General features: G+C 39.7%; 3 protein-coding genes across 5 annotated transcripts in view, besides 4 other annotated features; 2 read left to right on the top strand and 1 right to left on the bottom strand.

Moving 5' to 3' along the window:
* The window catches only part of XPNPEP3 (X-prolyl aminopeptidase 3), a 75,668-nt gene extending 64,863 nt beyond the window's left edge, over positions 1-10,805 (bottom strand). Inside the window, exons 1-3 of one of the 2 annotated variants that reach the window (NM_001204827.2) lie at positions 10,708-10,805; positions 7,160-7,275; positions 5,181-6,335 (exon numbers count right to left, since the gene is read on the bottom strand). In NM_001204827.2, the coding sequence (NP_001191756.1) occupies positions 7,172-7,275; positions 10,708-10,771 (168 nt within the window). In that variant the 5' untranslated portion in view covers positions 10,772-10,805 and the 3' untranslated portion in view covers positions 5,181-6,335; positions 7,160-7,171. Of the gene's footprint in view, positions 1-5,180; positions 6,336-7,159; positions 7,276-10,707 lie in introns of those variants that run through there. The other variant, NM_022098.4, reaches the window with a different exon arrangement.
* On the top strand, positions 5,840-8,404 carry DNAJB7 (DnaJ heat shock protein family (Hsp40) member B7). Its single transcript, NM_145174.2, has one exon. It carries the CDS (start codon positions 5,959-5,961, stop codon positions 6,886-6,888), a length of 930 nt encoding a protein of 309 aa, NP_660157.1. The 5' UTR covers positions 5,840-5,958; the 3' UTR covers positions 6,889-8,404.
* Positions 10,500-10,959: an enhancer, noted in NCBI's record as "active region_19102". NCBI's record gives its function as "activates an Ori minimal core promoter by ATAC-STARR-seq in GM12878 lymphoblastoid cells {active_cell/tissue: GM12878}" and the evidence as "EXISTENCE:reporter gene assay evidence [ECO:0000049][PMID:35858748]".
* Positions 10,500-11,586: a biological region, named in NCBI's record as "NANOG-H3K27ac-H3K4me1 hESC enhancer GRCh37_chr22:41252371-41253140".
* Positions 10,817-11,586: an enhancer, noted in NCBI's record as "NANOG-H3K27ac-H3K4me1 hESC enhancer chr22:41252371-41253140 (GRCh37/hg19 assembly coordinates)". NCBI's record gives its function as "activates a minimal SCP1, AML or CMV promoter by ChIP-STARR-seq in naive H9 embryonic stem cells {active_cell/tissue: H9 hESC(naive)}" and the evidence as "EXISTENCE:reporter gene assay evidence [ECO:0000049][PMID:30033119]".
* Positions 10,970-11,189: an enhancer, noted in NCBI's record as "active region_19101". NCBI's record gives its function as "activates an Ori minimal core promoter by ATAC-STARR-seq in GM12878 lymphoblastoid cells {active_cell/tissue: GM12878}" and the evidence as "EXISTENCE:reporter gene assay evidence [ECO:0000049][PMID:35858748]".
* Positions 11,314-27,854, top strand: part of ST13 (ST13 Hsp70 interacting protein) — a 32,105-nt gene continuing 15,564 nt past the window's right edge. Inside the window, exons 1-5 of one of the 2 annotated variants that reach the window (NM_001278589.2) lie at positions 11,314-11,522; positions 17,073-17,130; positions 19,614-19,659; positions 23,044-23,114; positions 27,261-27,327. In NM_001278589.2, coding sequence (NP_001265518.1) covers positions 11,413-11,522; positions 17,073-17,130; positions 19,614-19,659; positions 23,044-23,114; positions 27,261-27,327 — 352 coding nt within the window. In that variant the 5' untranslated portion in view covers positions 11,314-11,412. Of the gene's footprint in view, positions 11,523-17,072; positions 17,131-19,583; positions 19,660-23,043; positions 23,115-27,260; positions 27,328-27,854 lie in introns of both variants that reach the window. The other variant, NM_003932.5, reaches the window with a different exon arrangement.

The following is a 27,854-nucleotide window of genomic DNA, read 5'->3' as shown; positions in this document are numbered from 1 at the left end:
TTTTTTTTTTTTTTTTGAGACAGGTCTCACTCTGTCGCCCAGGCTGGAGTGTAGTGGCATGATCATAGCTCACTGCAGCTTTGTTCCTCTGGGCTTAGGCAATAAATGAAATGAAACAATAGATCTAGAAAGTCTTCATGGTATAAATGCACTTATCCATCTCCAACAGTTTGGATGCTTTAGAAAAATGCAAACTAATATTTCCTTCCTTCTCTCCTTCAATATTTATTCATTTATTTATTTTTAAGACAGAGTCTCACTCTGTTGCCCAGGCTGGAGTCAGTGGCTCAGCCTCCCAAGTAGCTGGGACTACAGGTATGTGCCACCAAGACTGGTTAATTTTTTTTATTTTTGGTAGAGATGAGGTCTCACTATGTTGCCCAGGTTGGAAACCCACACCAATTTCTTTGTAATCATCTTAGAAGCTATGATTTTTCTTTTTTTTAAATCTTTTTAGAAGAAGCTATGATTTTTCTAAACAATCTTCTACAAACTGGAATTAACTTTTAAGACTCTTCTCTCCCAAATACATATATTATTATTCATAATTCATAGTCCTTACAGAAATTGTATGTTCACAAGGAGATTGTACAGTATTGATTGTTGAGATTAAACAGAGAGGACCTAGTGAGCGGCAAGGGGGAGGGATAAGAGCAAAGATTATGAAGTCAAATAAACCTGAGTTTGAATCTCAGCTTCTCTGGTACTAAGTGTGTAACCTTGTCCAGATTACTTCTCTGAGTCTGATTCTGTGTTTGTAAAATAATGATGATAATGCCTACCTCACGTGACAGTTAAAAATCTAACTCCTTAATTTAGAATACAAAGCCTTCAAAGCTATCTTACCTTCCTAATCTTTTCATCTCCCTCCAGCAGCACTAACCCACTGGTGGAGTAGGCTGCTGTTGCATTGGTGATTTCTCTTTCTCTCCTCCTGCACCTTCTCCACATGCACGCTCGTGCACACGTACTCATGCACACATAGTGTCTTCTGTAATCTCATTAGGCAGTAAAATTTCAGAATATAAAAAGTTAACTGATTCCTTTTTCAATGCTCATATGAAATAATCCTAGCATATTTTGGACCACTCTCAAGCAGAGGGAGCTTAACTTTATTAAATTCAAAGCAAACAAGTAACACTTTAACAGGAGACATAAATTAAGATGTTTATTCCCAGTAAATTTTTAAAAAAGGTCTCAATAGCTTTTTACTTACATTAAACATCTTTTGCCCGAAGTCATATAATTAGTAGCAAAGCTGGTGTGTTAAGTCCTATTTCAAAAATATCCAGTTCATAAGCTTCAAACTCTTTTGCTTAGGAAACTTCATGATTTGGATCCTGCTCCCTTATCTGACCTAATCCTCAAAAAACATTATTGCAGCCACACTAAGCTACTTGAAGAACCCCGGCTAAATCATTCTGCATCATAATAGCATTTGCATTAAAAAATATAGTTCTCTTAGTCTAAAGTGGACACTGCCTGCTTATACGATTACAGAAATTCTAAAAAATACCAGCTCAAACATCACTTACGCAAGAGACTTCTCTTACTCTTCTCACACCTACTGCCTCTGTTCTGCTTGTTTCAGATGTCTTCCCCAACGCTCCTATGATTTCTATTTTAATACCTACTACACTTCACATAATTGCTAATTAGTTTGCCAGTCTACTATGAACAATCTTTGGAAGCAGAGATCACTTGTTATTTGACTTTATTTTCCCAGTGACTTGATTTGAAATGTATTTTGAAGTTAAAAGTCAATGAGTCTGGCTTCTAATTGGACATAAGAAATAAAGAAAAAAGAGGAATTAAGAATAATTCTTGATTTTTGACTTGAACAAGTGAATAAATGGTTGTACCACTACATGCAACAGGAAAGCCTGAGATATTTATTGGAAATAAATTTAATGGAGAGGTCAAAGAGCAATCTTAATTTCAGGGAGAAAAGTGCTAGGCTAGATATATAAATTAGGGTGTTATAAGCACACAGATGGCATCTAAAGCCCTGGGAATGGGTATTACCCAGGGAGACTGAACAAAGCCTGGCACTGTAATATTTTAGTGTGAGAAAGAGCACAGGAGAAAGAAGGAAAACTAGAAGAGTACAGTATTTAGTGCTGGGCATGGTGGCTCATGCTTGTAATCCCAGCACTTTGGGAGGCCGAGGCAGGCAGACAGATCACTTGAGGCCAGGAGTTCGGGACCAGCCTGGCCAACATGGCTAAACCCTGTCTCTACCCGCTGCCCCCCCGCCCCCCACAAAAAAAGAGTGTGGTATTTAGGAAGTTAAAAAACAAGTGTTTTAAGAAGTGGGGAGGACTATGCCAGGCGCAGTGGCTCACACCTGTAATCCCAGCACTTTGGGAGGCCGAGGCAAGTGGATCACCTGAGGTCGGGAGTTCGAGACCAGCCTGACCAACATGGAGAAACCCTGTCTCTACTAAAAATACAAAATTAGCCAGGCATGGTGGCACATGCCTGTAATCCCAGCTACTCGGGAGGCTGAAGCAGGAGAATGGCTTGAACCTGGGAAGTAGAGGTTGCAGTGAGCCGAGATCACACCACTGTACTCTAGCCTGGGCAACGAGAGTGAAACTCCATCTCAAAAAAAAAAAAAAAAAAAAGTGAGGAGGGCTCACAGTGTGGCAAGTGCTTCAAAATACAAGGAAGCCAAAAGGACAACCACTGGATATGGTAACATCAATCACTGGAGACCCTGGCGATTTTAGCAGAGTAAAGAAGACAGAAGACAGATTGGAGTATGCCAAGGAGGGAATAGGATGTAAGAAAGCAAAGACACTGAGACAATACTCTGGATAAGTTTTGTTGTGAAGAGGCAGAGAAAATGGCACAGCGGATGGCTGGGAGGCAAAGGATCAACAAAGAAGGGTATAACTGCAGAAACAAGTGCTCGTATTATAACTTTACACTCCACTGAAATTAGTTTTTTCAAACTATATGAATTTCTTAAGAGCAGAATTTCCTATTTTCTACCTTTTCTCTGTATCATAGTGTCAGAGGCGTTTGAACCAGAGCAACTCCATCTTCAGTAGGGGTTTGGTAAAATAAGGCTAAGACCTACTGGGCTACATTCCCAGTAAGTTAAGGCAGTCTTAATCACAGAATGAAATAGGAAGTCAGCACAAAATGCAGGACACAAAAACCCTGCTAATAAAACAGGTAGGTTATAGTAAAGAAGCTGACCAGCTGGGTGCGGTGGCTCATGCCTGTAATCCCAGCGCTTTGGGAGGCTGAGGCGGGCAGATCACCTGAGGTTGGGAGTTCGAGATCAGCCTGACCAACATGGAGAAACCCCCTCTCTACTAAAAATACAAAATTAGCCGGGCGTGGTGGTGCATGCCTGTAATCCCAGCTACTCAGCGGGCTGAGGCAGGAGAATGGCTTGAACCCGGGAGGTAGATGTTGCAGTGAGCCAAGACCCCACCATTGCACTCCAGCCTGGGCAATAAGAGCGAAACTCCACCTCAAATAATAATAATAGTAACAATAATAATGAAAATAAAATAAGTCCCTGTCAAATTTAGACACTGCGAACATCTTCTCCTAGACTGTCACCTTCCTGTGAGCTTTACCTGTGATGTTCTTAAAAAAAGGAGCTGGCCAAACCCCACTAAAACTAAGATGGCAATGACAGTAACCTCTGATTGTCCTCACTGCTACACTCCCACCAGCACCCCAAGAGTTTACAGATGCCATGGCAACGTCAGGAAGTTACCCTATATGGTCTGAAATGGGGAAGCATGAATAATCCACTTCCTGTTTAGGATATAATCAAGAAATAACCATAAAAATGGGCAACCAGCAGCCCTTGGGGCTGCTCTGCCTATGGAGTAGCCATTCTTTATTCCTTTACTTTCTTAATAAACTTGCTTTTACTTTACTCTGTGGATTCCACTGAAATTCTTTCTTGCACGAGATCCAAGAACCATCTCTTGGGGTCTGGATTGGGACCCCTTTCCGGTAACAGCAGGTTCTCAGTATCTGTTTGTGGAATGCCTAGAACCTAAACTCTTTAAGTCCTAGTCCGAGAAATGCAGTAGAGTGGAATGAGAACTTGAAATTAGACTCAAGTTTAAAAATCAGATTTTTCACTAACAAGCTATGTAGCCTTAGACAAATTACTTTCTCTCTCAGAACGTCTGTTTTCTTATGGGCATAAAATATTTATTTTGCTAGAGTGCTGTGTCAGTTAAATGAGCACTTGCTACAGTGTGACTCAGAGGGTACTCAAATAATTTTCGACATTATTGGTTATTATTTCCAGTGGTAGGCAAATTATAATCATGGGTAAGCCACACATAAGTACATGTAAGCACATACACTGGAGAGAATTTAAATTGAGTTTTAAGCATTTCACAATACCTCTAAAAAATGAGTATATATAAAAATGCAAAGCAAAAAAATATTCAGACCTGACAAATGGTCTTGAAAGACTAGAAGCATACACTACAGTTTTAGATTTCATTAGCGTATCATTTAACTGAGGGGTTATAAATGTGATGGAAAATAAAATAAACACAACATAGAGGAGGAAAAACAAAGATTACAGGGAATTTTCTCAGACAATAAAATGAGCCAGGTATAGAATATAAGACCTTTAAATTCGGGTCTAGACTACTGGTAGTTTATCCCCAAAGAAAATCACCTTTGGTCTGTTTCTAATTTGGCTCTCGAATTCTACTTTCCCATACATGACTGAATTTCCAAATAGTAGCCACTGATCCATTACAAATGTAAATCACATCATTAAACTTGCATATTCCCCACTCCCCACAAAGGCTTCCCACTGTACTTGAAATAAGTGCTAGCTTTATGTCCAACAGCCCCAACTGGCAACAACCAAAATGTCCATCAACATGGCCAGTGGCTACCATATTAGATCACTATGTGGCTGACTGTCATATAGGTCTCAGCAATAATGTCATCTCCTCAGAAGCCTTCTAAAACCAATCTAAAGTAGCGCTCTGCCCCCAGCACATTGCTATTTTTTTTGGAGCACATATCGCATTATCTTAAATTATTTTATTTGTTCTCCTATTTGTATTCTATTATAATGCAAGCACCAGGAAAACTGGTGTCTTTTGTTCAATACTGCTATCACCAGTGGCTAAAACGGTGCCTGGCACAAAGTAGACAATCAATAATTATACAGTGAATACATAAACACACAACTTTCCAAATCTTTAATTACATGTTTTACAGCAGTAAACCTTGGGTGGACAAAGATACTATAATCTCAAATGACTTACCACTGGCATGCAGAAAGTTAACATATCAGGCTACTTCCTCCAAGAGGCTTTCATTGACACCCCCAGCCTGAGCTGTCTCTCATATAATTGTTTAGCATCCAGTACTTCCTCTCATCATAACTATTATATTGTAACTAAGTTACTTGTTTGTATCTCCCTCTGAACTGTTTCTTGACTGAAATAAATATGTCAACTGTTTGAATACTTTCTTCACCCGTAAGTCAGTACTTCATTTTTCTAAACCAAAGCATAGAAGAGCTGGGAAGCAATTAAGGCGCAGTAATCTAGAGGTCATATTATGCAAGGGATATGCTGTGGCTATTAGCAACAGATTCCATTGGCTTATGAGGCACTGCCTGAAGCTTCCAGGGAAACATACAGGGGAAACAGTCCAGAGGATTCAGGATGGTCTGGTACGACTCTGGACTAGCTCTATTTGGAAGGTCCAGTCCCTACACTGACCCCAGAATGACACCATAATGCAGCCCTCTCTGACATATTTGTAACTCTGCTTGCCACATAATCAGTATCCTCATCTCTTAGCACATGGTAATAACATTGTCTTTAACATAAAAGTGTACCTATTTGCAGTCACTACCTCTATCACCACCACCAGCAGAGCCTGAGCTGAGGAAACCACGGTTCTCAATACCCAGCACACCCACTTCCAACTATCTGTTAAAACATGGTGGATTACTATGAAGTTCTAGGACTGCAAAGATATGCTTCACCTGAGGACATTAAAAAAGCTTATCATAAAGTGGCACTTAAATGGCACCCTGATAAAAATCCAGAAAATAAAGAAGAAGCAGAGAGAAAATTCAAAGAAGTAGCTGAGGCATACGAGGTATTATCAAATGATGAGAAACGGGACATTTATGATAAATATGGCACAGAAGGATTAAACGGAGGTGGAAGTCATTTTGATGATGAATGTGAGTACGGCTTCACATTCCATAAGCCAGATGATGTTTTTAAAGAAATTTTTCATGAAAGGGATCCATTTTCTTTTCACTTCTTTGAAGACTCGCTTGAGGACCTGTTAAATCGTCCAGGAAGCTCCTATGGAAACAGAAACAGAGATGCAGGATACTTTTTCTCCACTGCCAGTGAATATCCAATTTTTGAGAAATTTTCTTCATATGATACAGGATATACATCACAGGGTTCATTGGGGCATGAAGGCCTTACTTCTTTCTCTTCCCTGGCTTTTGATAATAGTGGGATGGACAACTACATATCTGTTACAACTTCAGACAAAATCGTTAATGGCAGAAATATTAATACAAAGAAAATTATTGAAAGTGATCAAGAAAGAGAAGCTGAAGATAATGGAGAGTTGACATTTTTTCTTGTAAATAGTGTGGCCAATGAAGAGGGCTTTGCAAAAGAATGCAGCTGGAGAACACAGTCATTCAACAACTATTCACCAAATTCTCACAGCTCCAAACATGTATCTCAATATACTTTCGTGGACAATGATGAGGGAGGTATATCTTGGGTTACCAGCAACAGAGATCCCCCTATTTTCTCAGCAGGAGTCAAAGAGGGTGGTAAGAGGAAAAAAAAGAAGCGTAAAGAGGTGCAAAAGAAGTCTACCAAAAGGAATTGTTAAATTGACTCTTCAAATATATAACATTTGAACACAATTGTGTGTGTTTTGGTTAATCACAAATTTTGTAGATAACACTTAATACTATACTAAGAGCTTTTCAACACTTTTAGCAGGATTGTGGACATTTGGTTAGTAGTTTTTTTGAATGGGTATGTCAGAAAAGGATGAGTTTGTGGTGACAGTTGGTGCTAATAAGAATTTGCCTGGGCAGTATAGTGAGATCTTTTCTCTACAAAAAATTTAAAAATTAGCCAAGTGTGGTGGTGTGCACCTGTAGTCCCAGCTACTCGGGAAGCTGGTAGAAAGACTGCTTGAGCCTGGAAGACATAGGTTGCAGTGTAATGGGATCACGCCACTGCACTCCAGCTTGGGTGACAAAGTAAGACCCTGTCTTAAAAAAAAAAAAAAGGAATTTGGAAAACTGCAATGAGTTTTTTACTTTTGAATTTTTCTTTAGTAGAGTTTATAGCCTATTTTTCTTTTTTCTAATTAAAACCACTATACAAACTTACGAAACATGCATAGCATTAGAAGACAAGAATGTATCAAGACACACAGGTTCAGACTACACAATTATTCATGAAATGGCTGTTTTCCAATGGAGGAACAGCATTTGATGCATTATAACTTAAAGGTACTACAAATTAAAAATTAAAGTATAAAGTATTTTAAGTTAGAAATAGACTTAGCTGGGTGCAGTGGCTCACACCTGTAATCCTAGCATCTTGGGAGGCCCAGGCAGGAGGGTTGAAGTCAGAATTTCACGACAGTCCGGGTAACATAATGAGACCTGTCCTCTATGAAAAAACTTTTTTAAAAATTTAGCTGGGTGTGGTGGTACGTGCCTGTAGGCCTAGCTACTTAGGAGGCTGAGGTGGGAGGATTGCTTGAGCCCAGGAGTTTGAGGTTGTAGGGAGCTATGATCTTGCCATTGCACTCCAGCTGAGAGTGTGACCCTGTCTCTAAAGAAAAACTATAGAAAATTTAAAAAATTAAAAAACGGGTAACATGGTAAATTTTATGTAGTATATTTTACCACATTTTTTTTAAAGGCCAGTCTTATCCTGAATTCCTCAGAGCAGTCTGTATGGTAGGCCATCAGTGAATCACTCCAGACAGGAAATTTTCTATTTTTGTTTAGAGTTTGTACACAAAATCTACAAATACATTACTCTAAAATAGCACCTATAGCCATTTTAATTTAGTCATGTTGGGAGAAAAATAGATGGGTTACAAATACATCAGATATCGAGCAAATGGTTTGAGTTACATCTAGCAGCACTAAAACTTATTCAACTTTGGCCAAATACAAATGCGAAATTAGAAAAAAATTATAATATCTGCTATTTTTAAAAGACAGCTATAGTCAAGAGCTTGTGTTTTGTATCGGTATTTGATTTTTAGTGGGCAGATGGGAGAAGGAAAGGTTATTTATTCTATAGAAGAGACTGCGGACAATTAGTATTCAAAGTTTATTTTCAGAAAATAAAATAATAAAAGCCCAGGGTATTTTAAATGCTTCTAATATAAGATGTGATATTTAGTAGAGTTTATCTGTTATCATGCATGTGGTAGTAAAGTTGAAAAAAAAATTGCAATTTTCCAAAAACTAAAGCAAAAATCAGTGTCTCAGAAAATTTAAGAATGTAATGACATGCCCTGTAGTCCATTTCTTCACTCTTAACAGAAAACCAAAAATTTAGATTTAATCATCTTACTCAATAGCTTAAAATTCCTCAAAGTTTTCCCACCATCTAAAGGAAAAAGCTAATTGTTTGCTTAACATAATATACAAGGCCCTCCACGAGCCAGCCACCAGCTTTTTTCCCAACTTGATTTCCTATCAGCTCCTTGTACTCATCTTATGCTCTAGCCCAACTTCTCCCAAAATCTGTTCCAGGGATACCAGTTCAAGATTCATCACAGAAAAGGGGTCCATGGTCAAATACATTTTTACACATTTTGCAAATTACTGCGGAACACATCTCTCAGAAACCTAGACTATTAAGGGCTGGGTGCAGTGGCTCACACTTATAATCGCAACACTTTGAGAAGCTGAGGTGAGAGTTCAAGTTTACTTTGGGCAACATGGCAAGACCCCATCTCCAAAAAAAGAATTAAACTATTATGTACATTATGAAAGGCAGCATTCCCCAAAAGTATTTGATCACAGAATCATTTTCGTGTAATGCCTACTATTTTGTTTGAGAACATCTTTCAAAAAATCTTTTCCTAAGCCGGGCGCGGTGGCTCACGCCTGTAATCCCAGCACTTTGGGAGGCCGAGGCGGGTGGATCACGAGGTCAGGGGTTCAAAACCAGCCTGGCCAAGATGGTGAAACCCCATCTCTACTAAAAACACATAAATTAGCCAGGCGTGGTGGCGGGCGCCTGTAATCCCAGCTACTCGGGAGGCTGAGACAGGAGAATCGCTTGAACTCGGGAGGTGGAGGTTGCAGTAAGGCAAGAGATCGCGCCACTGCACTCCAGCCTGGGCGACAAGAGCAAGACTCTGTCTCAAAAAAAAAAAAAAAAAAAAAAAAGCTTCTCCAGCCATACTAAACGATTGCAACGCTTAGTGCTGGCCACTCCGTTTTAGAGTTCTGTGCCTTTGCAAGTGTTCCTTCTGGTAGTATGGCTCCTTTAGTCAGGCTGGGGAGAGCCTTTCAAATAAAAGCAAATTCCAGGCCTGGGGCGGTGGCTCAGAGAGGAGGGTGGATCGCTTGAGGCCAGGAGTTCGAGATCAGCTTGGCCAACGTGGCAAAACCTGGTTTCTACTACAATTACAAAAATTAGCCAGGCGTGGTGGCACACGCCTATAATCCCAGCTACCTCGGGAGGCTGAGGCACGAGAATTGCTTGAACTCAGGAGGCAGAGGTTGCAAATGAGCAGAGATTGCCACTGCACTCCAGTCTGAGCAACAGAATGAGAGCCTGTCTCAAAAAAAGACTGAAAAATTGCACATCTTTCTTTTCACCTAATCCCACGGAGAGTTGTCTTTCTGCAGCTTTACTATGAGAACTGAAGAACAAGTTCTGTGCACTGGACAATAACTTTTTATTTTTTATAGTAAGAAGTCGATGTAATTAACATTCCATTTTAAATGAATTCAAGTATATCAACATAAACATATGCCAAGACATAGCTTTGATGTCAAATACCATACGTTCTGGTTCACACATTGTTCATATATTGACCCAAAAAACTGAAATACGATCCAATGGCAGATCCGCCTGCAAGGAAGGTGATTCAGTTTTCACTGATTAAGCTTTATGTTCATCAGATTAATTGCTCGCAATAGAGGACACCCTACAAAAAATTATTCTCCTTATCCTTCGTCTTGTCTTTGCAAACAGGACTTTCAGACACAGAACGCCCCAGAAGTATTTCGAAACAGTTACCTCTCCTAAGAGGAGCTGCTGAAAGAATTTGTTACTAAACATGCTTCGTGTATATTCTGGAGCAAGCTCTCACGCCTAACAGAAACAAGAGCTACTTGATGTGAGACACTTTGTCACTTAAGTGTGATAATTGCCACAACTTCGGAGTCCGAGTAACTTGGAAGACAGCCCCTCTGGGGGATGGCACACTTTTCTCTCTGCAGTCATTTCGGCTTCACAAAATACCTCAACGGTAGAGAACACACTGGGCCCACCCCTTTCCAGGAGCAGCCGGTATAGAAGAAATCCGCGGAGCACAGAGGGTTGGGGAGCGGAGGCCCCACCAGGAGAAGGGTCAGCCGAACCAGGGATCGCCTGAGACCAACTTGGGTCCCTCCAGGGGACACCATGGGAGGAGACCGTGGGAGAAGAGTCTAACCTGAGAGGCCGCGGACGTTTGCTACAGCGGGAACCAGCTTGGGGGCTGAGAGCAGCCAAGGCATTACGGCCTAACTCACGCGTCGGGAAGAGAAAGAGGGTAACGACGGGGAACGCAACCGCCTGCAGGGCCGCGTCGCCAGGAAACCGGGCCAGCCGCACCTCCCCTTCCGGCGGAGGCGGCTCGCGGGCCTTCCTTGCGCGGCGGCGCAGGTTGTGACGTCATGCCCCGAGCTGGGACCGACCCTCCGGCTCCACGCCCTTTTTTTTTTTTTTTTTTAGGTCCCGGGCGTTGAGCTCTACTCAGTGCACGCAGCCACACAATATGCTCTTGGACGTCGCCCCCTGGAGGGGATGTTATCTCCCGCCTCCTTGAAGTCGCCCATTTCTGGGGTTGCCCCATCCAGGGAGCTGGTTCCTAGTTAAGAATATGAGAATGTATGCGCAGGGAGGCAGGCAACAGCACGAACAGCCACGCTTCTAGAAGATTCTAGGGAGCGCGCAGGAGCAGCGCAGAGGGAGTAGGAATGAGCAGGCGGAGGACCCGAGGTCACGAGACCGTTGGGTGGGAGGAGCCAGCGGCCGGGGAGGTTCTAGTCTGTTCTGTCTTGCGGCAGCCGCCCCCTTCTGCGCGGTCACGCCGAGCCAGCGCCTGGGCCTGGAACCGGGCCGTAGCCCCCCCAGTTTCGCCCACCACCTCCCTACCATGGACCCCCGCAAAGTGAACGAGCTTCGGGCCTTTGTGAAAATGTGTAAGCAGGATCCGAGCGTTCTGCACACCGAGGAAATGCGCTTCCTGAGGGAGTGGGTGGAGAGGTGAGACCCAGGCCTGAGGACCGTTGGGGGCGGGGGAAGCACGGCCCCAGGGGGGAGCCAGGCTGGACCTGGCTCGGTCCGGCGGGCGAGGCGGGGTCGCTGCCCCTTCTTTGCCCGGGAAAGGGAGGCAACTTCGAGGGGTCATGGAAGATCGCGAGCCTTGGGTAGTACAGGAGCCGCGGGGAGCAGGAGGCAGAGCTGGGTTCCTCGCACCCTGAGGTTGCCCAGGGGTGTATCTTGGGCGAAATACAAAAACAGGACTGCGGATGCGTGGACACTGGAGACGCGAGGAGTGAAAACTGCAAGACTTAGATTTTGCGTGGGGTTGTTTTTCTTTCAGTCTTGTGTGCCCTGCTCAGGTCTCATTGGTACATAGCAGTTCCTTTACGCACTATTCCTTTACGTCGTGTTATAATAATATAACACTAGTAAGTTAAAAGTTACAAAACTAGTAAGAATAAAAATGATAACTGTAAAAATGATTGTTTTTACCTTACAGCGTTTGTAGCTGCGTAGGATTAATTATCTTGAGAATCACTTATTATACCTCCGTTACTTGGCAGTGTTATCACTCCAAACACGTCTGAGAAAAATAATTTCTTAAGGCCTGGCATGTTTCCAGGATATAATCTTGTTGTCTTTAACTGTAGAGTACTTCGCTACGTGCAAGGAGTTAATTGACAAGGCATTGTGCCTGGTGCTAGGAAACAGTATAAGTACTGTCTATTTAGACGAATAAATAGAAAAGTTCGTTTTGATATTTACTATATAATAGTAATTAGCATTTTATGTGTTGAAGGAGCACCGAAGAGAAAAAGTGACAGGGAAGTCTTCCCTAAGATGACTTTTTAAAAAATTATTACTAATGGGGAACTGAAAAGATGACATACAAATTGCACTAAACAGGGATAAATAGCAACTATGCAGACCATTGCGACTCCTAAGAGGTGCTGCTGTGAACGTTATGTGTTTAGTGACTTTTGTCTTTTAGAGACAGGGTTTGGCTGTATTGTCCAGGCCGCATACAGTGGCGGGATCACTGCAGCCTCCAATTCCTGGGCACAAGCGATCCTCCTGCATCAGTCTCCCAGGTGGCTAGCAGTGCGGGATCGAGCCACCATACTTGGCTAATTTAATTTTTTTGTAGAGATGGGGGTCCCATTAAGTTGCCCAGGCTTGTCTTGAACTCCTGGCCTCAAGGGACTCCCCCGCCTCCCAAAGTGGTGGTATTACAGGCGTGAGCCACTTCACCCAGCGTGATATTTTTGTGTGGGAAGATGAGCTCATGATTACCAAATAGCTCAAAGAATATTTCTTAACAACAATCTGGTTCTAAGGAAAAAACTCGTTACAATCTGTCAGCGTTGTATGTTGTATTTTTTTCCTCTAAGAAGTTTTTCAATTTTTAGCTCCCCACCAATTGTCTAACTACTGGAAGACTTACTTATATGTGAAATTCTGAGACCATTTAATATTACTATGTTAATAGTAACTTTATGAATATTGGTAAGAAGTCTATTTTGCAAACTCCTCAACCGGGAAATGTCAGGATTAGGAATTGAGGGCTAGGTTTTAGTCGTTTTCTCTATTGAACAGCTTGATGATCCAAAAGCCTTAAGATATTTGTATGCTTTTATCCTAATTATAGGAAAGAACCTGCAGTTAATAAATTCTTTCTAAAATTCCAGGTAACGTAGACAAGTATCACAGGAAGAAAATAGCCGGCTCCAAGAGCTGGCTCCACTTTACATTAAGTGGATACAATGTTTTTGTTTCATTCTTACTAGTGAGGAAGAGGAGACACAGAAGAACAAATTAAAAGCATGTGTAAGAACAGTGTCCTCCTGACTTGTGCTGGAGTGATTGTGCCTATGTAGAGAATTCCACTTTAAGGTTTGCAAAATATTTGTCAGGCACTACTATCTCCCAAACAAAAACAAGAAATAGTCATATACCTTATTTTAACATAGGTAATTCCAGTTTTTCTTTCTGATTCCACTTACATTCTTTAGCCATCCTGAGTTGGCTGAAGTATGGGGTGAAGCATCATGGCATATGTAGGGACTTTATTCTGAACTTAAATTGAGATATTTAATATAGAAGCTTTTTCTCTTTATTTCTGTATTTAAACTAAGATTTTTATAAACTCTGAGGCCTTTGCGTTTGTGTCAGTTTCTCTCTCTGCCTTCATCAGTCTGCAGTTCGAGATTGTGGCAGATGGGGCTGAATGTGGAGACTTCTAGGTCCAGACGTCTTCCTAGGCCTGATGCTACTGTTAGGGTTACTCAAGTTGAAAACATGTGTTTCTCACAGGCTTAGCTGTTGAAGAACAGTACATCTGCCTATTTGCTATAATTGCTAGCATTGTTTATAGCTTAGTTTTATTTGATATAAGGATTTATTAGTTTAACCTTTTAAATTGCACAAAGAGAAATACTAAAAGTCTTTCTGAACTAGTTGTCAGTGAGGATCCAGGAGACTGTTCTTTTCAAGAACTGTGTTTTGAGATATTTTTGTTTTTCCCTTTTTAGAGACAGAAGCATTCTCCCACTCTATTTTCTCCCGTTTAACAATTTAGTATCTTGTATGTGGTTTCATGGCTTTACTTGATGGTAATTAAGATCGAAGAGAGTGTCTTTGTTTTCTACTCCCTAGTACAGTACGTGGCACATGGCTTTTCCTAAATGTTGTAAAGGAAATGAACAGAATGCATTTCTACCCTCAATATAGAATTTAGAGTGTAGCAACCAATTTTTTGTACATGTGTACAAATAACCATAGCACAAAGCAGATTAGAAGGTTATCAAATTAAGAGAAATGTGAATGAAGTTTTATGTGGTCCTATGTGAGAAAAGTCTCTACACTGGTCCTACTTGATTGTGTAACATAAAAAAGCCTGTAGTGCCAAAGTCTAAGTGGCAGTTTTTGGCCAGAAAGTAGCTTGTTCTAAGCCTTGGAAGCATTAATTGAAATTTCGTACCTATGAGTTGGTGTTTTCTTCCATTAGTTAACTAGAATTTGGGATGGGAGAAACTAAATCTAGCTTATGAGTAAATCCTCTTTTTTTTTTAAAGTTTTTATTTTTTTTGCAACAATTTCTAGCTCAGAAAAATTGCAGGTATGGTACAAAGGAATTTTTTCTGAACTAGTTGAGAGTAAGCTGCCAACATTATACCCCAACACCAGTGAGTGTGTACTTCCTACAAAGTCTTTACAATGCAAATACTAAACTTAGGAAACTAATGCTGATGCATTTATGCTATCTAATCCTCAGATTTATGTGTTGCATTTAGTTGCCATGTCACGTAGTCTCCATTCTGAAACAGTTCCTCAGTCTTTCCTTGACTTTCATGATCTTAACAGTTTGAATGTTATTGGCAAGTTATTTTATAGACTTTCAATTTGGGTTTGTCTGGCCTTCCCTTAGGATTGGATTTAGCTTAATACATTTCTTGGCAGGAATATCACTTCCCAAAGTTAGTGTACTGTAAGTTATACTATGTCTGGATGTCACTCTAAATACATTCCTGACGCTGCATTTTGAAACTTAGGAAGAACACAGTGTAAGAAACCCTGTGTCTTCATTAAAATTTAACTACAAAGGACTGGTGATTACTGTGCTCTTTTGCAAAGTAGTGTTTCCATAGAAAAGAATTTTGTGGTGTCTATATGCCTGTTCCTTATCATTAAATCATTTTACTTTGCTGAATTGCAGATTAGGATGTTTTGGATCATATAATCTTTATGTTTGACATGGGAGCTATTCCATATTAAGGGTACTGTGTAACATTTTCTTCTATCATATTAAACATAATGGAAAAAGTAGGCACATTTTCTTCGTTTGAATGGTGCTTATAAGAAATTCCAAATTCTGTTTCTTTTCATTCCATCTGCTACTTTGCATTTATACTTTTGCTTCATATTGGGATTCTCAGATGATACTAAGGGAGTGAAAAGGCAACCTACAGGGTGGGAGAAAATATTTGCAACACATAAAGCTGACAAAGGGTTCATATGCAGAATACAGACAACACCTTCAAATAAAGAAGGACAATCTATTAGAAAGCTGGATGAGAGTTGAACTGTACAAAAAAGTCTTTTTAAATGACCAGTAAATATATGAAAAGGGACTCAACTGCAATGAGATGCCAGTAGGCACCTATCAGAATGGCTAAAAAATCTTTAAGATGGACAATAGCTAAGCATTGGCCAAGGCGTGAAACAATTGGAATTCTCATACATTGCTGATAAAAGTGTAAATTGATAAAAGAACTTCAGAAAACTGATGCCCATTTAAATTCAGCCTGCACATACCCTTATGACCACAAATTCCACCCAACTGAAATGAATGTAAGTGTGGATATGACAACTCTAGTTACAAAGAATCAGGCCGGGCGCAGTGGTTCATGCCTGTAAATCCAGCACTTTGGGAGGCCAAGGCTGGCGGATTACGAGGTCAGGAGATCGAGACCGTTCTGGCTAACATGGTGAAACCCTGTCTCTACTAAAACAAAAAATCAGCTGGGTGTGATGGCATGCACCCTGTAGTCCCAGCTACTTGGGAGGCTGAGGCAGGAGAATCGCTTGAACCCAGGAGGTGGAGGTTGCAGTGAGCCAAGATTGTGCCACTGCACTCCAGCCTGGGTGACAGAGCAAGACTCCATCTCAAAAAAAAAAAAAAAGAACCCTTTCTGTTTTCAAAGTTAATATATCCCCTTGTTTTACATAGTTAATGGCTTTTGTTGTTTGTTTTTAAGGCAAATTTTAATAATGTCTACGTTGCTTCCAACTGTTGTGGAGTGCTCTTAAGTCTATCAACCATTTTAGTCACTGGATTGTTGCAGGTAGCCCATATACTATAGGGTCTGCACCAAATGGAGCATGTAACGCTAATTCTTTGTAATTTTTCTCTTCTAGTTATTTGCTTATAATGAATTGTGTTGCCCTGAACTATTTGGGAAAGAAGAGTTTGTAGGGTCAGGAGGAAGTATTAATGGATGAGGTTGGGAGGGGTGTATAAGGAGAAAATCTATAATGTGATGGGCATGCAAATATAAGCAAGAAAAATTCTCATAGGTCTCAGTCACAGGACACAAACATTTTGAATTATATCATGACGGTATAGTTACTTCATAAACTGCATATTTGAATTTAATTGAACTCTTATTTCAAGTTTCAAATTTAGGATTCAGATATACCTACTGAGTTGAATTCTAAGTTAACAGCTTGTGCAAATGATTTTGTCATTGCATGTTGACATATCTGCCTCTTTTCCTCTGGGAAGAGGCACAGAGAAGCTATACATTATGTTTATTTGACTCATTGAGGCAAAGAAAGGGGTTCATTAGCCAGTAGCCTTAAAATAAATTTTAAGCTGGAAAAAATTTAACCATAATAATACCACAGCATTCAGATTAATTGAGAGTTTACTTTTAAATTTTGAAAAGGTAGTCATCTAAATGTCTAACGTTATTTTTTAGGTGTAAATACGTTGCGTGACAGTGAATTTTAATTTTCTAAACAAATATCTTTTTTCTCATCTTCTTCAAGCATGGGTGGTAAAGTACCACCTGCTACTCAGAAAGCTAAATCAGAAGAAAATACCAAGGTAAGTTTTAATTTCATTTGTATGTTTTGTGATAAAGTACTATAAGATTTCTTAGGGGTTGTTTTTAAACTGCTGCTCTCCAGTTATCACTCCTGATTTCCCCAAGATCACTTGGAAATAAGACCTTTTAAGACCTCTTTATCTTTATAACTTTGTAGACCCGAATTCTCTGGATTCTGATTTAGAACTGAGAATTTAGGGTTGGATGTTCACTGTTTTAGAATACATGACAATAAAAGTTACATGTATGGCCTGTAAGTGGTAAGCTCCGTGATGGTGTGCATCCGTAGTCTTCATCATTGCCTTACAGTGTGTCATATGCATTGTAGGTACTTTATTTATTATTTGCAGAGTAAATGAAGTATCCCAGGTCAGTAATTTAATTTTTTTGCTCTACTACCTGAGTGATATTTGTGAGTGTGAATCATGGTGTTGGGTTAGCATATTTGCTTAAAGGACGTGTAAGATTAGGAGAAGGTTACCAGTAGCTGAAGTTGAGAGACAGATGAAGGGGAACATACATGTTTAAGAATGTTTTCTTTTATTTGTTTGTTTTTTCTTTCCTGAGACAAAGTCTCACTGTGTCACCCAGGTCTGAGTGCACTGGTACAATCTCGGCTCACTGCAACCTCAGCCTACTGGCTTCAAGCGATTCTCCTGTTTCAGTCTCCCGAGTATCTGGGATTACAGGTGCATCCCACCATGCCTGGCTAATTTTTCTATTTTTAGTAGAAATGGGGTTTCGCCATGTTGGCCAGGTGGGTCTCGAACTCCTGACCTCAACTGATCTCTCAGCCTCCCAAGGTGCTGGGACTAAGGCGTGAGCCACCATGCCTGGCCCAGAATGCTTTCTTCATAATTTTTTATTTCTCTCTTCTGCCTTCATATCTAAAAGGCTTTTTTTTTTTTTGCAAATTTTCTGATTAGCTGTCTTAAATCGACAAGAAAATAGCTGTTTTATTATTTAGAAACTTAAACATTGTTATCTATTTGGATCTTAAAGTGGAAGTTATGTCTATTAAGAAGGAGAATGCGAAAAGGTAAGCAAAAGCCCAAAAAGTAGTTACCTTTTTTTTAAAAGGACCATTTATCAGAGTGGTATTTTCTGAGCCCTAGATATTTTGCTATTTGGCAAATGTGTATGAAGGCAAAATTATATTTAACCTATGTGTCAGCTGAAAATTTTTTGTAAGAAAAACATTCTAAACTAGAATTATGGCTTGTCTTTTCTTTTCAATATATTCTAGAATACCTAGACTTTGCACATTTTATAGGGACTCAACAAATATTTTGTGACAAGGTAGGTTTTTGGTTCTAATTTTTTTTTTTTTTTTTTTTTTTTTGAGACAGAGTCTCACTCTGTTGCCCAGGCTGGAGTGCAGTGGTGCGATCTCTTGGCTCATTGCAAGCTCTGCCTCCCAGGTTCACGCCCTTCTCCTGCCTCAGCTTCCTGAGTAGCTGGGACTACAGGTGCCCACCACCACGTCCGGCTAATTTTTTTGTGTTTTTAGTGGAGAAGGGGTTTCACCATGTTAGCCAGGATGGTCTCAATCTCCTGACCTCGTGATCCACCCACCTCGGACTCCCAAAGTGCTGGAATTACAGGCATGAGCCACTGCGCCCTGCCTTGGTTCTAATTTTTTAAGTAACAGGGAAGCAACCTAAAAATGGTTAACAATATATGGTTGAGTGAATAGATGAAGGTAGGCTGATAATGGTATATAATTTACAAGATACACAGCGTTGTTAAATGCAAAAGGCAAAGGATAGAGTTGTTTCATATATAGAGAGACTATCCTGCAATGGGATATACAAGAAACCACACTGGTTATTTATAGGATGGGAAGAAAGTGTTGCTTTCTATATGTCGTGCACTTTTAAATTCTTTGAATTTTCATTGTTTATTATTGTAATTCCACAGGTTCTTATTTGCAGTTCCAAAACTCAAAAACCCTTGTAAAGATTTTTACTAAATTTGGCAATAAAATATAATGTGAGTGGACATGAGGCTATTTATAATCTCTAAACTGTTTATTGTCAATGTTCAAACTTTATTTTGAACAGTTGTTTTTTTATTTTTGAGACACAGTCTTGCTCTGTCGCCCAGGCTGGAGTGCAGTGGCATGATCTCAGCTCACTGCCACCTCCGCCTCCCAGGTTCAAGTGATTGTCCTGCCTCAGCCTCCCAAGTGGCTGGGATTACAAGCGGGCACCACCACGTCCGGCTAATTTGTATTTTTAGTAGAGATGGTTTCACCGTGTTGGCCAGGCTAGTCTTGAACTCCTAACCTCAAATGATCCACCCACCCCAGCCTCCCAAAGTGCTGGAATTCCAGGCATGAGCCGCCATGCCTGGCCATATTTGACAGTTTATACATAGATTTGTAGAAATTAGTATAAATATTCGGTATGTTATTAAATACTGATAGTACTGTTTGTCTTCCCTTTGCTAGGAAGAAAAACCTGATAGTAAGAAGGTGGAGGAAGACTTAAAGGCAGACGAACCATCAAGTGAGGAAAGTGATCTAGGTGAGGAGACGGTAGTTAGTTTGTATTTGAAAACCTATGATGTGATACTTTGTTGATTTTTATTAAAGTGACTTAAATCAGCACTGTGTAATAGAAATATAATGGCACATATGAAACTTAGAATGTTCTAGTAGTCACATTTTAGAAAGTAAAAGGAAACATGAAATAAATTCAGATATTAATGGCATATTGGTTGAAATATTGACATGTGTAATCAATATTTTTTTTTGTTTTTTTGTTCTTTTTGAGATGGAGTCGTGCTCTTGTCACCCAGACTGGAGTGCACTGGCACAATCTCGGCTCACTGCAACCTCCACCTCCCAGGTTTAAGCCATTCTCCTGCCTGAGCCTCCCGAGTAACTGGGATTAGAGGAACCTGCCACCACACTCGGCTAATTTTTATAATTTTAGTAAAGACGGGCTTTCACCATGTTGGCAAGGCTGGCCTCGAACTCCTGACCTCGTGATCCACCCACCTTGGCCTCCCAAAGTGCTGAGATTACAGGCGTGAGCCACTGCACCTGGCCTCAATATTTGTTAATAATTTATTTTGCTTCTTTTTTTAATAGCATTCAAACTCCAAAGGGTATTTTACACATGTGGCACCCCTCAATTCAGGTTTTACATTTTCATTGATAATAAATCAGACTTCATAATGTTTGTATTAGAAAAAGTTGGGTTACATATTAAAGTTGTTCTAAGCATACTTAAAAAGTTTTCTTTTTTTTTTTTTTTTTCTTTTTTTGAGACGGAGTCTCACTGTGTCGCCCAGGCTGGAGTGCAGCAGTGTGATCTCAGCTCACTGCAGCCTCCACCTCCCAGGTTCAATCAATTCTCATGCCTCAGCCTCCCTAGTAGCTGGGACTACAGGCGTGTGCCACCAGGCACGGCTAATTTTTGTATTTTTTTTTTTTTGTAGAGACAGGGTTTTGCCATGTTGCCATGTTGGTCAGGCTGGTCTTGAACTCCTGATCTCAGGTGATCCACCTGCCTTGGCCTCCAAAGTGTTTGGGATTACAGATGTGAGCCACCATGCCCAGCCAAAAGTTTTCCCATAACTGAATTGAGTGCCAAAAAATAGTATTTGTTTAGTTCTTACAACCATGTTGATAAAACTGGTTCATATTTAGAAGAGTAGTTATCTGTGCTATGAGTTTGGTTGGTTTTTTGGCCACAAATTGACTAAATTTCTTCATGAATTTGGAAGTCTCTTATATCACAGAACCTGAAGAAAAGTACTTGAAATGTTTTAAATTTTGAATCAGTTTTTTTTTGTTGTTTTTTTGGGGTTTTTTTGGAAGACTTGAGTTTCGCTCTGCCACCCAGGCTGGAGTGTGGTGGCACAGTTTCGGCTCACTGCAACCTCTCCCTCCTGGGTTCAAGCGAGTCTCCTGCCTCAGCCTCCTGAGTAGCTGGGACTACAGGCGTATGCCACCATGCCTGGCTAATTTTTTTGTATTTTCAGGAGAGACAGAGTTTCACCATGTTGGCCAGGCTGGTCTCAAACTCCTGACCTCGGGTGATCTGCCCGTCTTGGCCTCCCAGAGTTCTGGGATTACAGGTGTGAGCCACCACGCCTGGCCTGAATCAAATTATCTTTGATATCATTAGAGGTCTTACATTCTACTGGCAGTTGTTTGAGTGCTAAATTGAAGATCTTTTACTTTTTATAAAATGCCTCTTTAGTCTTACTTTCTACCAGTTTCTAAAACTACAATAAATTTTTTAACCAACTCTCCACCTAAAAGTGTTTTCTTTTTTGTATACAAATCAAACTTTGATAGACAAGCTTAGTTGCTGTTAAAAAATGGATTAAAATTTTTTTACCGTGTTAAAGGGCATAAACTTTGAGCTATAATCTGAATAAATTCCAGAGATCCAGTATACAGCATGACTATAATACTGTATACTTGAAATTTGTTAAGAGACTGGATCTTCAGTGTTCTCACCAAAAACAAATAAATATGTGAGATGGATAGTTATTAATATGATGGGTGAGAATCATTTCATTATGTGAGGTGCAGTAAAGTGAAACACAATAAAATGAGGTATGCCTGAGGTCAGGCACGGTGACTCACACCTTTAATCCCAGCACTTTGGGAGGCTGAGGCGGGTGGACCACCTGAGGTCGGGAGTTGGAGACCAGCCTGACTAACATGGAGAAACCCCATCTCTACTAAAAATACAAAATTAGCCAGGTGTGGTGACACATGCCTGTAATCCCAGCTACCTGGGAGACTGACGCAGGACAATTGCTTGAACCTGGGAGGCAGAGGTTACGGTGAGCCAAGATTGCGCCACTGCACTCCAACCTCGGCAACAAAAGCGAAACTCCGTCTCAAAAAACGATATGCCTGTATGTTAAAACATCGCATTGTACACCATATACATATATGTATATATATAGTTTGTCAGTCATGCGTCAAGTTTTGTTGTTGCTGGACAGTAATTCTGATTTTAGGTGGGTGATTTTAAATTTTTTTTTTTTGACTAAGGAAACTTCTTATCAAATTAACTATTTGCAAATGTGTTCTTTTTAAATGATACGTGCGTGTGTGTGTGTATATATATATAAAACTCGTTTTCCACTTGCAACAAATTACAGTTGTCATTTAACTGACAACTGTTAAATGACAATTTGAAAAGCAAGATACTGCTTTTCATTCTTTACTGTTTTGGTTGTAAGTACTAGCTTTGGTCACTACTGTACATATGGAAACTAAATTTATTTTTAAATCTAGCCTTGGTACTTGATTCTGCATCAGTAGTAAGCCTTTATTTTAAAATTAAAACTTGTCCATGCTACTTTTAAAAATGAAAATAATTAGGGACCAGGTGCAGTGGCTCATGCTTGGAATCCTAGTGCTTTGGGAGGCCGAGGTGGGAGGATTTCTTGGACAACATAGTAAGATCCTGTGCCCCCCCCAAAATTATTTTAATTTTAAAAAAGGAAAGTAATGAATGTAATTATATTAAAATATTTTGATTTACGTTGAAGTATCACTGTAGCTTACCTGCATATTTTTGAAAAACATAGTACATCAGTGTGTAGAAAAAAATTATTTGAACTAAATCAGTTTGTTGACAATGGTGTATTTATATACAATGACTAAATCAGTGGTGTATTTATGTGTAATACTAGAAACTGCACATGTCAACAACCCCACTACAACCTGATAATAAATATCTTACATGATGTGACAGTTAACGTAAAGTGTAGTCTTACCAAAGTAACGAAATGTTTAATGGGAACATATTTTAAAATGCATCAATACTTAAAATAATTAATTGTAGTAGTCATAGTATGTCAGTTTTTAATAATCTTGGGAGTGGCTACTATATTGTACGGTGCAGGTCTTATTGTCATTTTCTCGACTTTGGCAGAAATTGATAAAGAAGGTGTGATTGAACCAGACACTGATGCTCCTCAAGAAATGGGAGATGAAAATGCGGAGGTAAGTTCGGTGACTTGATTTCCTGCTTGTTCTAAGAAATGTGAAAGGTCCTGCTGTTGCAATGATTTTATGACACGATTCTTCCAGGAAAAGCGCATAGTAAATCTTTCTCTGACTTCAGGCGTTTTAGGCAAGCATTGTATTTTACTACTTAAAATACTAATGAAAATAAATACTGTTACTTTCTGTTTTATCTGTTTTTTAAGTTTGCATCTGGTGTGACTGCTTGCACTGTAACGCAGAATTCACTTAAAATACATACCTATTAGTGGAGTTGCTCTTGATGGAATATCTAATGCCAAATTGTATTACAGAATGGTTTGTCATAACAGGCCCTCAAGGGAGTGAAAATTGGTTCTTGGGAGGAGGGCTTAAAAAAAATTCTATATATTACAATGGTTAGTGGTCCTCCAAAGACTCATAGAATATTAATATGTAGTGTATCTGTGGTATTAAAATTGGGGATATGGAAATGAGGAAAAGATGTCTAAAAAGGCTCCTTAGTGTCTGATAAAAATTTGAGAAACACTCTAATATAGTAATAGCAGTTTTAAAAGATTGGTTTTTATCCTCAAAACTTGATATTATCAGATTTCATCTTTGCCAAGTATTGTGGGAAATGGTATCTTTTTGTGGCTTTTAATTTGCATTTTCCTGGCCAGACAGGGTGGCTCACGCCTGTAATCCCAGCACTTTGGGAGGCCGAGGTGGGTGGATCATCTAAGGTCAGGAGTTTGAGACCAGCCTGGCCAACATGGTGAAACCCCGTCTCTACTAATAATACAAAAATAAGCCAGGCATGATGGTGCACGCCTGTAATCCCAGCTACTTGGGAGGCTGAGGCAGGAGAATCACTTGAACCCAGGAGGCAGAGGTTGCAGTGAGGTGAGATCGCACCCCTGCACTCCAGCCTGAGCGACAGAGCAAAACTCTATTTAAAAAAAAAAAAAAAAATGCATTTTCCTGATTCCTAATGAGGCTGAGCATATTTAAATGTTTATTGGCTGTTCACTGGCATTTGCGAACTCCTGTTTAAACTTTTTCCACTTTTTGCTGGATCTTTTTCTTACTGCTTTGTATTTCATTTCAATATTCTGGATGCTAATAATTTGTTGCTAGTGCTGCATATATTTTCTGCTAGTTTGTGACTCATCTTCACTCATCTTTCTTCATGTTGTTTCAAAAATAGTATCTTTTAATGCAGATATTTTCTGCTTTATTACTTTGAGGTTATAATTGCTGTAGTGCATTGCTTTTTCTCTTCTGAACATTTTATACACTCACCTTTCACCTTTAATCTACCGGTCCCACCAAAACTAAAATACACTGTTTCTGAATATTGTGGGTCTGTTTCAGGAGTTTATTGTTCTGCTTGTCTATTTTTTTTCTGTTCACTAATGCCACATCGTCTGATACTAAGTCTTGTTATTTTGTAGAACAAGGACCCCCAAAACTTTTTAGTCTTTTGGCTGTTCTTGGCTTTTTGTTTTTCCAAGTAAATTTTAGAAATAGGTTGATCAAGTCTCCCCGCTTCCATTGGTTTTTTTCCCCTTTGTTAGAATTGTGTTAAATCTAAATCAAGTTCGGGAAAAGATATATCTCCTCACCATTGAGATAAACTATCCATAAATAATGTTATCTGCCCAATTTTTAGGTGTTTTTAAAATATTTTAATAACTTACTAACGTGTTCCCCATAAGTCTTGTGCTTTGTTTTTTTGAGACAGTGTCTCACTCTTCCATCCAGGCTGGAGTGTAGTGGTACAATCATAGCTCACTGCGCCCTTGACGCCCTGGGCTCAAGTGATCCTCCCACCTCAGCCTCCTGACCAGCTGGGACTATAGTCATGCACCACCATGTCCAGCTAGTTTTTTATTTTTATTTTTAAAAATTCTTAGTAGAGACAAAATCTCAAACTCCTGGCCTTCCAGAGTGCTGGGATTACAGGTATGAGTCACTGCACCTGACGTAAGTCTTGTGCATTTTTGTTAAGAACAAATGTAAGTACTTTCTGTCACCATTTGTCAAAGGAAACTTTAAAGGTTAAATGTTATGTTTATTGATGGTATTACTTCTTTTATGATGTGTCTAGGTTTATAATTTTTTATTTATCCTGCTTGGGATTCAGTGAGCATCAAATTCTAGGGTTAACTTTCTTTAGCTCTAGAATATTTTCAGCTGTTATTAAATATTGCCTCCTTCTTGTTTACTTTATGCTCTAATTCTGGATCCCTGGTAATGTTAGACTTTTGTTATTAAGTTTCATTTCTTTATCACTCTCTGCTGAAAAGCAGTCTATGCTTTGTCTGTTCCATTGATGTTTGAATTGGAATGCTTGTGTTTTTCATTTTGGTACTTCAAATCTTTTTGAAGTCTACTTGGTTATTTGTAAGTCTTTTGCTCTTTACTCATTTTCAGAATTTACTTTTATTAAACACATTAAATTCCTTGTTGAACTCTTCGCTGGTCTTACTCTTATTTTTCATGGCTCTTGCTCATTAAGGTACCTTGTTTACTTTATGATGTGTTTGTGTGTTGTGTGTGATATTTTGAAAATGTGTTCTTTGGAACTTCACCTGTAGAAAAATTTTGAGGCCTAGGTAAGAAGGTGATTGCTTCCATGAAGTCTCTGAATTGGTGCTACCAACTCAAGGACCCCTTGAAAGTCTCAGCATGGTGTTTTTTTGTTTGTTCCAATTACTTTGGTAATACAGAATTCCAGATGAAAGGCTGGCTGTGGCTCTGAATTTTCAGGGGAAGTTCTTTTAATCTCACTACTCAACTGTCCGTTTCTGTAGGACAGGTTTATACCATTATGCTTGCCGGTATTAGCATTTGGAGTTGCAGATTTATTTTGGAAGGTGTCTGGTTAGACCACATACATTCTCTTCCTCTGAATATAGACTTTGTATCCTGTGTCCTGCATTACCTTCAAAATAAAATTGCAGCCAGGAGTGGCGGCTTATGCTTCTAATCCCAGAACTTTGGGAGAGTGAGGCAGGCAACTCACTTGAGTCCAAGAGTTCTAGACCAGCCTGGGCAGCATGATGAAAACCCGTCTCTATAAAAAAAAAAAAGCAAAACATTTAGTAGGTTGCGAGCATGTAGTTCCAGCTACACTTGAGGGGAGGCTGAGCCCAGGAGATGGAGGTTGCAGTGAACCGTGATTGCACCACTGCACCGGAGCTTGGGTGACAGAGGTAGACCCTGTCTTTAAATAAAACATTATTTTTATATTTAATATTTATTTTTTCTTTTTATTTTTTGTAGAGACGAAGTTTCGCCATATTGCCCAGGTTGGTCTTGAACTCCTGGGCTCAAGGGATCTACCTGCCTCAGCCTCCCAAAGTGCTGAGATTATAGGCATGAGTTGTATATTTTTTTCCTGTGGTTAAAGATCTCCAGAGCTTTCCATTTTAGGAGGATGTTTGCTATAACTCTTTGTTCTTTTTTTGCAGGGGTAGGGTGAGACATGGTCTTGCTCTGTGTCACCCAGGCTAGAGTACAGTGACACAATCAAGACTCACTACAGCCTTGACTTCCTGAGCTCAAGCGAGCCTCCTAACTCAGCCTCCTGAGTAGCTGGGACCAGATGCATGTGCCACCATGCCCAGCTTGTTTTTTTTTTTTTTTTTCTTTTTTTTGGAGAGATGGGATCGCCCTCTGTTGCCCAGATGCACATGTTTTTGTTCTTAACTAATCTTTATACTGTCAGCATCTTGTACAGTGTTTGGTCTATCTATATAGCATAGGTGCTCAATAGTTGTTTGTGGGAACAAAGGAATGAGACCTTTCTCTTCTGAGGATTTAAACCTAAAAGGAGCTAGTTATCTTTTTGTGAGGAGATTGGGTTTAATATTTATGGATAGCTAGGTAGGAGCTGGTATGCTTTGGTTGGGACGGAAGGTTAAGCAAAGGTTATGTCTCGGGCAGAGTGTAGGAGTGAAATTTGTTTAGTATAAAAGGTTAAAACTCGTATGTAATTTCTCACTAATGAGTTATCATAATTGTCTCTTTGTTCTCTGGAGACTACAGAAGAATGAATGAAAATGGGTATTGTGACTGCGCCTCATCCCTAAGAAAGTATGAATTGCTTCCTTCTCTCTCTCTCTACTAATTCTAAGATGATTTTTATTTTCTTCCTAGATAACGGAGGAGATGATGGATCAGGCAAATGATAAAAAAGTGGCTGCTATTGAAGCCCTAAATGATGGTGAGTAATCTTTTTGCTACATTTCTATGGTAGTCAGAATATTTATTGCAGTAACTTAAATAGTGGTAAAGTAGAAGAGAAGTTACATGTACCTGTCCTATACTGGAGAAGATAGTGTCCTATTATCCAGTCACCCCTTCCTCATTGATAAAAGAGGCTGAAATCACTTCTCTCTGCAAGGACAGATCCTTATTTGATTCAGTGTCTCTGATTTCCTGACCCTATCGTGGTGTTTTTCTGCTGAGAAGAGGCTTTAAAGAGGTGAAAGGCTTTAAAAAAAAAAAAAAAAAGTAGTAGTAGAACAGTGACCCTTAACTTTTTACATACTAATACCCTTGACAGATGATGTTCATAGGCATACCAATCTTCGTCCTAGTCAGAGCATGTTAGATTCTCTTGAGTAAATCCCCTCAGAGTGAGAAAGTGGTGATAGTATTCGGTTTTGTTTTTTGTTTGTTTGTTTGGTTGGTTTTTTTGAGACGGATTCTCACTCTGTTGCCCAGGCTGGAGTGCAGTGATGCGATCTC

This window comes from Homo sapiens, chromosome 22, assembly GCF_000001405.40.
Source record: "Homo sapiens chromosome 22, GRCh38.p14 Primary Assembly".
NCBI classification, from domain to species: Eukaryota; Metazoa; Chordata; class Mammalia; order Primates; family Hominidae; genus Homo; species Homo sapiens.
The sequence above is the reverse complement of the archived record's forward strand: the minus strand, read 5'-3'. Positions and strand labels throughout refer to the sequence as shown.

Bases quoted from the DNA above. Each gene is read 5' to 3' on its own strand.
- DNAJB7 (NM_145174.2), top strand. From the start codon at position 5,959: ATGGTGGATTACTATGAAGTTCTAGGACTGCAAAGATATGCTTCACCT.